The sequence below is a fragment of the Homo sapiens genome, chromosome 14 (genome assembly GCF_000001405.40).
Source record: "Homo sapiens chromosome 14, GRCh38.p14 Primary Assembly".
NCBI classification, from domain to species: domain Eukaryota; kingdom Metazoa; phylum Chordata; class Mammalia; order Primates; family Hominidae; genus Homo; species Homo sapiens.
In genome coordinates, this window is record NC_000014.9 from 71,203,747 (window position 1) to 71,215,757 (window position 12,011).

A 12,011-nucleotide genomic window follows, 5' to 3' on the forward strand; every position below is an offset into this window, starting at 1 on the left:
CTCACGCCTGTAATCCCAGCACTTTTGGAGGCTGAGGTGGGCAGATCACAAGGTCAGGATATTGAGACCATCCTGGTCAACATGGTGAAACCCCATCTCTACTAAAAATACAAAAAAAAAAAAATTAGCCGGACATGGTGGCATGCACCTGTAGTCCCAGCTACTCAGGAGGCTGAGGCAGGAGAATCGCTTGAACCTGGGAGGCGGAGCTTGCAGTGAGCTGAGATGGCGCTACTGCACTCCAGCCTGGCAACAGAGTGAGACTCTGTCTCAAAAAAAAAAAAAAAAAAAAAAAAAGGCTCTTGGTGACCTTGCAGGAACAATTTCAAGAGAGCAACAGGGCCAGATTCAGACAGCATTGGATCGAAATAACTAAAGCAGCCACTCCATTTACTCAACACCCACCATGTGCCACGCACTGTGTTGGGAGTTTTGTGTGTGGAATTTCATTAAATTTTCACAACTCTACAAAGAAAGTATGATTATTTTCATTTTATGGATGAATACACTGAGAGGCTCAGAGAGGTTAAGTCACTTGCCCAAGCTTACACAGCAAGTTACAGAAAGAGATTGGGACCCATTGAGAGGAAAGAAAGGGGAGGCAAAAAGTGCAGGTTACTCTGATAAGAGGCGTTTCAGGTAGAGAAGGAGAGTCACCAGGGAGGAATGCGCATTTGATGTAGCTGGTTTTTTTCTTTTATGTGGGAGAGACATAAACAAGTTTACAGGCTGAGGAGGAGGAACTTGTAGAAAGGAGGATGTTGAATAATTAGGAGAGGGGAGATAATTTATGGAGCAAAGATATGGCAGGGAGGGAAGGGATCAGGATGCAGGAAAAGGGATTTTCCTTAAACAGGAGACAGGAAGGCAAGGTCAGGAAGGACAGTGAGGCCCATCCAGTGGCCCTTATTCCTCCTGTGAAATCTAAGAGGAAGGTAGAGAGAGAAGGTCCCTCACAGCCCCCTCTGTGGGGCTTGAGAAGCAAGGAAGGCTTGAGGTGGCTGCTGGGAGCCTGGGAGTAATGCAGGGCAGATGAGCCCCTAAGTTGGGGCTTAACCCAGGAGGGTTCTTAGTTTCATCCAGGAAAGAATTCTAGGGTGAGCCAGTGGTGTTAGACAGCAACTTTGATTGAAGCAGCAGTGTGCAGCAGCAGGAGAGCAGGGCTACCCCTAGGCAGGGCAGTGCACCCAGAATGGCAGCTCAGAGGCAGTTCTGCAGTCATGTGTATACCCACTTTTAATAATATGCAAATTAAGGGGAAGATTATGCAGAAATTTCTAGAAAAAGAGTGGTAACTTATGGGTTGTCAGGTCATTACCATGGAAGGGCTGGTAACTTCCTGGTGTAGCCATGGCAATGGTAAACTGACATGGCATGCTGGTGGATGTGTCTTATGGAGAGGTGCTTTCGCCTCCTCCCTGTTTTAGCTAGTCCTCAACCTGGTCCAGTGTCTGAGCCGAGCCTCCAGAGTCAAGTCTTGCCTCCTACCTCAGGGAAACCTGGGGCCATAAAAATGTGCTAATACCACTGGGCCATGTTGTGAGCCTTGTCTGGGAATAGGGAGTGGGGACTTCTAGGGAAATTACCTGAGAATCATCAGGTGAGACTGATGAGTTTGGACATTCACTACCTCAGGAGGGCTGGTTTGAAAACCCAGGAGGCCCACCTCTGGTTCTGTTCCTGACCTTGCAATGATAGGATGTTAGGCAAACCTAAAAACTCTTGGGATTTCCACTATCTCACTGGTAGAGCCAGGGACTCATTAGCCTGGATTAGGAGTTGATGAAGTTGGAGAAAGTTGGCTAGAGACTCCCTGCTGCTCATGGAAAAAGCAGTGTATGTTACTAATGGCACCACCCACTGCCTGTAAGAGCAGATATTCATGGTAAAGCAAATTCCCTAAGGTCCATACAATTGTTTCCATGGGGTGCAGTGTCCAGTGGGAAATGATGAGGCTCTGTGTCCAGGATACCAGGAGCCCAGCCTGACGCTGCCTCTAAAAGCCTCTGTGGGGCTTTGGCTAGGTCATTGCATCTTCTGGCCTCAGTTTCCTCTTCTTGGTTTATGACAAAGCAGACACTTCTCAGGGGGTCGATTTCTGGCCATTTGGAATAGAGGGCAGCTTCACATTGTCTAGTGAGGGAGCTGCTCCTTTCCAAATAGGAAGGAGAAGAGAATCAAGAGTGAGTTTCTTGGCCAGGCACAGTGGCTCACGTCTGTAATCCCAGCACTTTGGGAGGCCAAGGCGGGTGAATCACTTGAGATCAGGAGTTCAAGACCAGCCTGGCCAACATGGTGAAATCCCATCTCTACCAAGAAATGCAAAAATTAGCCAGATGTGGTGTCCCGTGCCTATAGTCCCAGCTACTTAGGAAGCTGAGGCATGAGAATAGCTTGAACCAAGGAAGCAGAGGTTGCAGTGAGTCAAGATCGCACCAATGCACTCCAGCCTGGGTGACAGAGTGAGACCCTGTCTTAAAAAAAAAAGAGTTGAGTTTCTCATCTCTTCTCCCCAACCCAACAGTAAGCACAAATATCACAGATTTTCAGAGAGGGATCTGTGTGAACTCATCAGCCTAGTGACTAAGGCTTAGCATGGGTGCTGCAGCTGTGCATGGGCACCCATCATCAGACACAGCCTTCTGATCACTTGATATGGTTTGGCTGTGTCCCCACCCAAATCTCATCGTTAGCTCCCATAATTCCCACATTTTGTAGGAGGGACCCAGTGGGAGATAAATGAATCATGGGCATGGTTTCCCCCATACTGTTCTCTTGGTAGTGAATAAGTATCACGAGATCTGATGGTTTTATAAGGGGAAACCCCTTTCACTTGGTTCTCGTTCTCACTTTGCCTGCCACCATGTAAGACCTGCCTTTGTTCTTCCCTTGCCTTCCGCCATGATTGTGAGGCCTCCCCAGCCATGTGGAACTGTGAGTCCATTAAACCTCTTTTTCTTTATAAATTACCCAGTCTCGAGGACGTCTTATCAGCAGCATGAAAACGGACTAATACATCACCTCTCGTCACATGCTCCAGCCTCTGCACAAGGCTCTGTTGTTTCTGTTCTCAATCCCAGTCCCCAGTTAGTCCCGAAGCTGAGAGCTGGACACAGGCTGTTGCAGTGGCTGAACCTGAACAGAACCAGAGCTGCTGGCTCACTGGCTGCAGGCAGCTTGTTCTCTGCCCTCTACAAGGATCTGGGATTTATTTAGCCTGTTTCCCTGGCAGCGCTGGTTACAGTGGCAGCATCTGCTTCCCCAGGAGGCTGAGTGAGTCACAGCCACCTACGCTAACCCTTGGCACAGCACAACTCTGTTCTGCTGGGGACCACTGATAATAAGCCAGCAGGAAGATGCTGGAACACAGGCTCGATGCAGACAGTGCACTGGGCATGGGGTCCTGGGAAAGGCTTACCTACCTCCTCGTGCAAAAGAGGTTAAGGCTGGAGGCTGAGTTAACCCTGGCACGCTCTCCCTACAAGAGCTGTTAAGTCTGCTTAACAACTTAACAAAGTGGCTCACCTCAGCTGCTGCCAGCAGCTACAAGGTCTCATGGGAAAGGCCTGCAGGATTTTGGACTCCAAGTCCAGGCCCTCTTTTCACTATGCAAGGATAAGCCCTCAAATTTGTCTTTCCACGGCCACCTCTGCACCCATATTGGCCCCTGGTTCCTTCTGGCTCTCAACCCCAGGACCTTCTTTTAAGACATCGTCAGTCCCTCCTCTGGGCAGCAGTCCTCAAAACTGTATTCTTTCCCAGGCCCACCCCTTCCTGAAACTTTTATTTCCTCCATCTTGTCTCCCCTTATCATCTGGGTAATCTGAAAAAAATTAGTTGATCCCATGTTGTTAATGACTAATAACAGGTTATAGCGCTAGTCTCACAGGTGTTGCATTTACTCTTGACTTTGAAAGCCAGAGAGAACATCAGTCGTATGCAATGGTTTCTCCAAATATAGTCCCTGGATTTGTAGCATCAGCTTCATCAGAGAGTTTATTAGAAATGCACATTCCCAGTCCCCACTCCAAACAAATTACATCACAGATTCTGGGGTGGGCACTGACAATCTGTTTGAATCAGCCCTCCAGGGGACTCAGATGCACGCCACGGTCTGAGGACCCCTGGTCTAAGGAAAGAGATCTATAGCAGTGTATTCTCCACCCTGTGGGGAATGGAGAATTTTTGTCCGTACTTGTCTGGATTCACAGTACAGCTGCAAATATCTCTCTGTTTCATGCAAGCCACACTGAAGAGGCTTGAGTAGGCAAAGACCCCATTTGCTCCAACTCTGGGGGTTTTCCTATGTCCTTCCTCCAGATTGTTTGAGTCGCATGGAAAGAAACTGGTGTTTTTTTCATGTGTGGAAAAGGGCAGCATTGCCTCACCTGCCACAGAGAGGGCTTTAGGGATAAAAGGAAACCCACCCATTGGAAATGAACAATCTAGCCATCCTGTTTCCTAAGAGCTGAGGAATTCAAGCAGAGGGAAAAGAGACTGATAATATTTATTAATCAATGTGAATTACTCTTTCTTCTATCAATTCTTTTTGAACATTTACAGATTGCTCCTATGCTGAGCCCCACGGCCCCACCCTCAGATAGCTTACAGGAGAGTGAGACCATCAGTCAGAATGGGTTGGGCTATGCCATGGTAACAAACAACCCCACAGTCTTGGGGCCTTAACATAACAAAGGCTCATCTTGCAAATGCTTCATATCCAATGAGGGTCTGCTCTGCTCCACAAAATCACTCAGGGGCTCAGGGCAATGGAGAATCCACTATCTTGCAGCTGCCCTAGTCATTGCAGCAGGGGAAGAAACAGCTGGAGGTGGTCAGGTGCTCATCCAGAAGTAAATTCCAACACTTCTGCTTACATCTCACTGGGCAGAATCAGTCCCATGGCTTTACTAACTCCAAGGAGCCAGCAGGTGTATGCCAAAAGAGAGAAACATGGATATAGTTGGATATTAAAAGACTTTACCACACTAAGACCACTCATTTATTCATTCACTTATTCTTGAATAAATATTTACAGAATGCTTACCACATATCAAGCATTAGGCCAGACCCTGGGGATATAGCATCCCCAGAGCCGCTGCCTTTGCACATTAGAGACAGCCATTAATATTACATTGGTGCAAACAGTGCCCCCTGCAGGTGTGCAACACAGGAGCCCTGCTGTCTTTTATTTTTCCTGTTTATGTTATGTTTTATCATTACTATCTATCTTCCCCACCAGAAAGCAAAGTGAGAGAGCTGAGATTTTGTCTGAGTTGCTCGCTGCTATATTTCTGGAGTTTAACACAGTGCCTAGTGACCTCAATAAATATTTAAGTAAATGACTGAAAATGAAAAATTATTGACTATGTTCCCCATCAGTCCCTGCCTTCATGGAGCTTATAATCTGCTGAGTCAGGAGTTGTGTAAACAATTAGCTGAAGTATTGAGAAAAATCACGCACTAGACAGAGTGAAATACAGGTCAAGTAAAAACCTGGGCCACGTGCCTTGGGAGCGTGAAAAAGCCGGGGATCATTTTTGACCATGGGTAGGATCAGGGAGATTAACCTTGTTTTACAGGTGAAAAATGAAGATCCAGAGAGGCTTGCAGTGGGCCTGCCCATCAAGGGGTGAGCAGCAAGGCAGGCAGAAGAATCCTGCCCTACCTCTTGTTTTGGTATTTTTTCTTCTCCCTACACTAATAACTAACAAAGCTTTATATAGTCAGCCTTCCCTACCTGCTGGGTCCGCATCCATGGACTCAACCAATTGCAGATTGAAAACATTAAACAACAACAACAACAACAATAAAAATAATACAATTTAAAAAATCAATACAGTGTAATGACCATTTGTATAGCGCTTACATTTTATTAGGTTTTAAAAGTAACCTAGAGATGATTTAAAGTATATGGGAGGCTGTGTGTAGGTTATATGCAAATACTACACCATTTTATATTGTGGACTTAAGCATCCTTGGATTTTGGTGTCCTGGGGTGAGGGGGTCCTGGAATCAATCCCCCTCAGATATCGAATGATGACTGTATTTGTACAGCACTTTACCATTTTCCAACAGCTTTCATATACTACATATCTATAACTAGTCTTTAAGGATTAAAAGCCTTAAAAGTCTCTCTCTAGTCCCCACCCCACCATCCTATACCCAGCCTCAGAATTTGGTCCTCTTTTGATGTCTCTTTGCCTCTGGGAGGAGATGTGGGATGTGTTTCGTTGTGAGGATGGAACATCCAGTTCTCCCCGCCCTGCCCTACCTCCCAGCACTTGTCCCCACGCCTGCTCCCCAGCTGCCCAGAAGCACCGCATAGAAGAGGCAGCTTTTCCGAAGGGCATCTGCAGAGCACATGGGAGGGCTCTGTCCCAGCTGTGGTGGACAGAGAAAGGTGGAGGATGTCTCAACCAAAAACTTCTTCCCCTGCAGGCAAGAAAAGGGCTCATTATTTTCACTTGAGCTCGCAAGTAAAAACAATTACATAAGCTTCCCATCTGGCTTCCAAAGCACTTTTGAAACAATTCCATTGCAAGTCCTTTCATTTTATGGGGGCTCTAAAGACAGGGCACAGTTAGAGGTTATCACTGGGAATCTTTGTCCCAATGTGTGGCCTTTGTCCCCTCCTGCTGCCTCACTCCTCTCTCTCTGTCCTTTCCTCTCCCACATGTCTTCCTTCCCTTTCTGCAAATCTGTCCTCCATGAGGGCTCAGCCAAGGCTCTATTCAGTCTAACAAGCATTTCCTTAGAGCCCACTCTCCACCAGTCCCCTGGTTGGTGCTGGAGATTCCAGGATGGGCAGGACAAAGACAGAGGCTCACGGAGCTTAAAAGGGGTGAGGCCCATTCATGACACCCACTGGAGATGCCTGCTTTCATCCTATTCCACCTTCTATCCTCGCCCTTTCACAAAATATCTGTCTTCCTGAGATTCTATCATGAGTCAAGTAGTGAGCTAAGGGTTGACATGCATTCTTCTTTTTTTCATTTTTAGACAGTCTCACTCTGTCACCTAGGCTGGAGTGCAGTGGCACAATCTTGGCTCACTGCAACCACCGCCGCAATTCAAGAATTCAATTCAAGAATTCAAGCAATTCTCCTGCCTCAGCTTCCCGAGTAGCTGGGACTACAGGTACGTGCCACCACGCCTGGCTAATTTTTGTATTTTTAGTAGAGACAGGGTTTCACCATATTGGCCAGGCTGGCCTCGAACTCCTGGCCTCAGGTGATCCACCTGCCTCGGCCTCCCAAAGTGCTGGGATTACAGGCGTGAGCCACCATGCCCAGCCGACATGCATTCTTTCATTTCATTTTTTACAACAGTTATTCTCTTATTATGCCCATTTTTAGATAAAGAGACTATGGCTCAGGAGGTTATGTAAGTTGCCCAAGGTCACACAGCTAGGAAAGGGCCCAGCCAGCATCCCCGCTACACAGCCTGCCTTCCAGCCCCATCCTCCTCCTGGGCCACGCTGCCTCCACCAAAATGCTCAGAATAAAAAGAACAAAGAACAAAGAACAAAGAACTGGACAGAGCATTAGCACCATCTCTACCACTCCTCTCTTTTGAGAGTTGGCTTTTTCTTTTTTAAATTGGCAAGTAAAGATTGTATATATTTATGGTATAAAACATGATGTTTATATATATATACACACACACACACACATTGTAGAATGGCTAAATCAAGCTATTTAACGTATGCATTACCTCACACACTTATTTTTTGTAGTGAGAACACTTAAGATCTACTCTCTTAGCAATTTTCAAATATACAACATATTGTTATTAACTATGAGAGTTTGCTGTAAAAAAAAATCTAGTGATTCTTTCTAAAAACAAAGGACTTGTGTACCTTAGAGATCATTGTCTCCTCATGTCCCTGAAGTTTTAAAAACCAGATGTTTTGATCACTCCTTTTTTTTGTTTTTTTTTGTTTTGTTTTGTTTTTGTTCTTTGAGACAAGGTCTTGCTTTGTCACCCAGACTAGAGTGCAGTGGCTCAGTGGAGCAAACGCAGCTCACTGCAGCCTCCACCTCCCTGGCTCAAGTAATTCTCCCATCTCAGCCTCCAGAGTAGCTGGGACTACAGGTGTGTACCACCACGCCGGCCTAATTTTTGTATTTTTTGTAGAGATGGGTGTCCCACTATGTTGCCCAGGCTGATCTCAAACTCCTGGGCTCAGGGGATTTTGTATTTTTTGTAGAGATGGGGATCCCACTATGTTGCCCAGGCTGATCTCAAACTCCTGGGCTCAGGGGATTTTGTATTTTTTGTAGAGATGGGGATCCCACTATGTTGCCCAGGCTGGTCCCAAACTCCTGGGTTCAGGGGATCTGCCCGCCTCGGCCTCCCAATGTGTTGGGTTACAGGTGAGAGCCATTGCGCCCAGTCTTGATGACTTCTTTACTCCCTAGAGAGCAGAGAAACCTTTCCTGCCTAGCCTGTGGCCTCGGTCTTAGAAGTCATCTCTGGAGTCCAGCAAGCCTCACAGATGCTGGGCTAGCTTTTCACATCCTTTGAGGTGGTTTCAATGATCTAAGTAAGAAGAGGCACACACTGCCAGTTTACTGCCAAGCTTCACTCTTAGCCCTCCTTTACCCTACAGTGCTCTGGGGAGGGGAGGAGATGGCAAAGACCCTCCCCAGGGAGGTTTCTGAAAGGTCACATCCAGCACTGGAAAGCGCTGGAGGGTGATGTGTTGGTCTCAGTGTAACCTGCATTTGCATGTGGATTTCAAGCATCCTCCTAAACAAGCCAAATGTCCAGGAATGGATAGACTCCACAGTAAGATTTTGTGATTTTGGTGTCTAAAGCTGTCTTCATTTTTTTTTTTTTTATTCCACCTCGTCCACCCACTCCAGCCAGCTGAAATTCCCTGTGCCAAAAGTATGGAGAGAAGATGTCAGGAACGTGTGAGAACTCCCCCAGACGGTCTTTTGGAGTCACCCTGCCCTCCAGACAATTTTGGTGCCGGCTGCCTCCAGGAACCTGACTCTCTCAGTCTCTTACTGTTTCGCTCCGTGGGTCAAGTCTCTGCAAAGCCTTCACGCTGAGCCTTGCCTTGCAGGCAGCCTTTGTGAGGCAGTCATCATGGCTCAGCTAACTGCAGCAGGAAGAGGCAGACATGGAGCTAAAAGCACAGCAGCTGGGATTCCAGGAAAGCAGGAAGTTCTGCAGTTAGCATCAGGTTAGTCTACCAGCGAGAGTGGAGCTGGGTCATAGGCCCAGGTTGAGGGTAAGGACCCTGAGATGGTTTGGCTGTGTCCCCACCCGAATCTCCTTTTGAATTGTAGCTCTCATAAGTCCCACGTGTTGTGGGAGGGATCTGGTGGGAGACGATTGAATCGTGGGGGTGGTTTCCCCCATAGTGTTCTTATGGTGGTGAATAAGTCTCATGAGATCTGATGGTTTTATAAGGAGTTTCCCCTTTTGCTTGGCTCTCATTCTCTCTTGCCTGCTGCCATGTAAGATGTGCATTTTGCCTTTGATTGTGAGGTCTCCTCAGCCATGTGGAACTGTGAGTTCATTAAACCTATTTTTCTTTATAAATTACCCAGTCTCGGGTATGTCTTTATCAGCAGCATTAGAACAGACTCATACAAACCCCCGTCTCTGAGAAGTCCAGTCCTAGAAGGACCGAGTTACTGGGGCAAGACTCATATGGAGCAGGGTGAAGAACAATACCTTGCTGCAACAATCCAGATGGGCATTTTATTGTCTCATCCATGGCTTTTTTTTTTTTTTTTTTTTTTTTTTTAGAACTGGGACTTCATGTCAGAGTTGTAGAAGCAACAATAGTAACTCAATGCCAAATACTGGAAAATTAAAGCTGAGCTACAGAAATGTCTCCAGCTAAAGTCAGGCATACTGGACACCCTTTTTCTAGGACTAACTCCCCAGTTAGAACACACCCCTCACAGTTACTTTCCCCACATGTTCCCACCCCAGTAGCTCCCATGGCTACTACAGAATCATCAGCTATTTTGGGCCCAAGGTGATTGGCCCAAGGGTGACTTGTGACGAAAGATAGGCCAAATCAGGGCCCTTTCCAGAGATGTTTAGACTTGGGGCTCAAGTCTTTGAGACAGCTTCTCCCTGGTGACTATAGCAGACCCTGTCAATGTCCAACACCTGTCCCCTCATCATTGCTGACTCAATGTGACATCCATCTGTTCTGACGTCACATGATACATTCCCTTTACTGGATTCTCTGCACACTCTATGGACCAACACGTTCTTCAAATAGTTAATGTGCCATTAATAATCTGATATTCCTGCTTCCTTTCCACTTACATTTTGCTCTGTTAAATGCCAAAAGATCAAGAATAATTTAGTCATTTTTTTCCCACTGGGTTTCACATAGCTTCTTTCAGAGCAGTCAAAAAATTCTTACTTAATTTTGAAGCAAAAGAATCCCTGAAACTCTATAGCCCCTCCCCAGTATCTAGAACCTTTCCTGGGATTTGGAGCTTCTGAGTGGCCCTTTTTAATACCAGACACCTGAGCCAAACCTTAGTTAGTTTCAGTAAAAGCTCCTCAAGCTTGAAGTTAGGTGAACTTCCAATAAGCTGTCTTCCCAAAGAAACAGATTTAGCTATTTTTGTGCTACGCACTTGCTTCATCTAGTAGATTATAAACTTTTGGAGGAGAAGAAATGAGTGTTAGCTATCTTTGTATTCCTTGGCTCAGTACCTTACACTGAGTAAATATTTAATAAGTACAACTTTGCTACATAAATGAATCATTCAATCACATTCCCTGTGTTAAGTATAAAATTAACGATTTAAGCATCATGAATCAAATAGATAACCCCACTAGGATATATCTTAAGTTGTGCTGTTATAGACCTAATGGGTGGTTTTATAATGGACCCCCAATATTAATAAAATTCAGCAAAACTAATTGGCACTTTACTTTTGCATATAGCACACCCAACTGCTAAGAGCTAAATTTCCAAGTATGTATCCTACATAGGGAAAATCTTTTACCTTCCCCATCAAAGAGTGTTTAACTCATTGTTGGTGAATAGGGAAGTCTCTCCGGCTAAGCAGAAATGGAACCTGCCCAAGGGCATGGAGGAGACACTTTGAATGATCAGGGAGTATTTGGTCAGTCTGGCATAGGCCAATGTTCAATTAGAAACAAGAGAGAGCCCTTCCTACCGCCTCAATCCAGAAAGCAGGGGTCATGGCACCCCTGAAAGATGCTCTGGGGAGAACCCATAGGAAGTGGATACAGAGAGGTCCTGCTGTGTGGCAGATCCAACAGGACACGAGTAGAGACGGAATAACCCCACGAGTGACAGCTCTAGGGACAATGTGGCTTTCCAAAGGCTTGGGACCCAGGGTTACTCCAGCTTCCCACTTCCTGCTGCACACAGACCCCCACCCACAGCAGGCCAGGCCCCCCACGTGAAGTCTTCATACAGCCCTCAGATTTTTGTGAAGGGAGAGAAGACAGTCCACTCTCAGAGGAACACAGGGACAGGGCACAGAAATTCCCACCCCTTGTGGGCCAAGAGAGGAAATTAGAAGGCCCGAGGCAGAGAAACACTGTGCTATGCACCTCCACGTTGACTCTACTTCCAGGCAGGCAGCCTGGGTGAGAGGTACACACACACATAGATGAACGTGCAGGATGCTGGGGTGGCTCAGTGGAAGCACAGAGCTGGGGAGAAGCCTCTGCTCCCCATGGTCTCTCCGGGCTTCAAGCCTTCCCAGCTCTATCTGGTACTGGGACAGGTCCTGCTGCTGGAGGCCATCCGTGGTTCACCCAGTGTCCACTCCACCATCCAATGGTAATGGCACCCTGGTTTTCCTCTGGGGACCCAGCCTTTCCCCACACTCAGTCCTCGTGACCTCGTCTTCCTGCTCTAGAAATAGACACACATGCCCTGTGCTGGCCAAACAGTGGGTTCCATCTCCCTGGCCACTGCACTGATTTAAGGGGAGGACATGTGACCAAAGCTCAAATGGTCAGCCCAGCGTTCATGGCTGGAATGG

General features: G+C 46.7%; 1 annotated feature.

The window, feature by feature from the left end:
- Window positions 8,568-8,617: an enhancer, noted in NCBI's record as "active region_8670". NCBI's record gives its function as "activates an Ori minimal core promoter by ATAC-STARR-seq in GM12878 lymphoblastoid cells {active_cell/tissue: GM12878}" and the evidence as "EXISTENCE:reporter gene assay evidence [ECO:0000049][PMID:35858748]".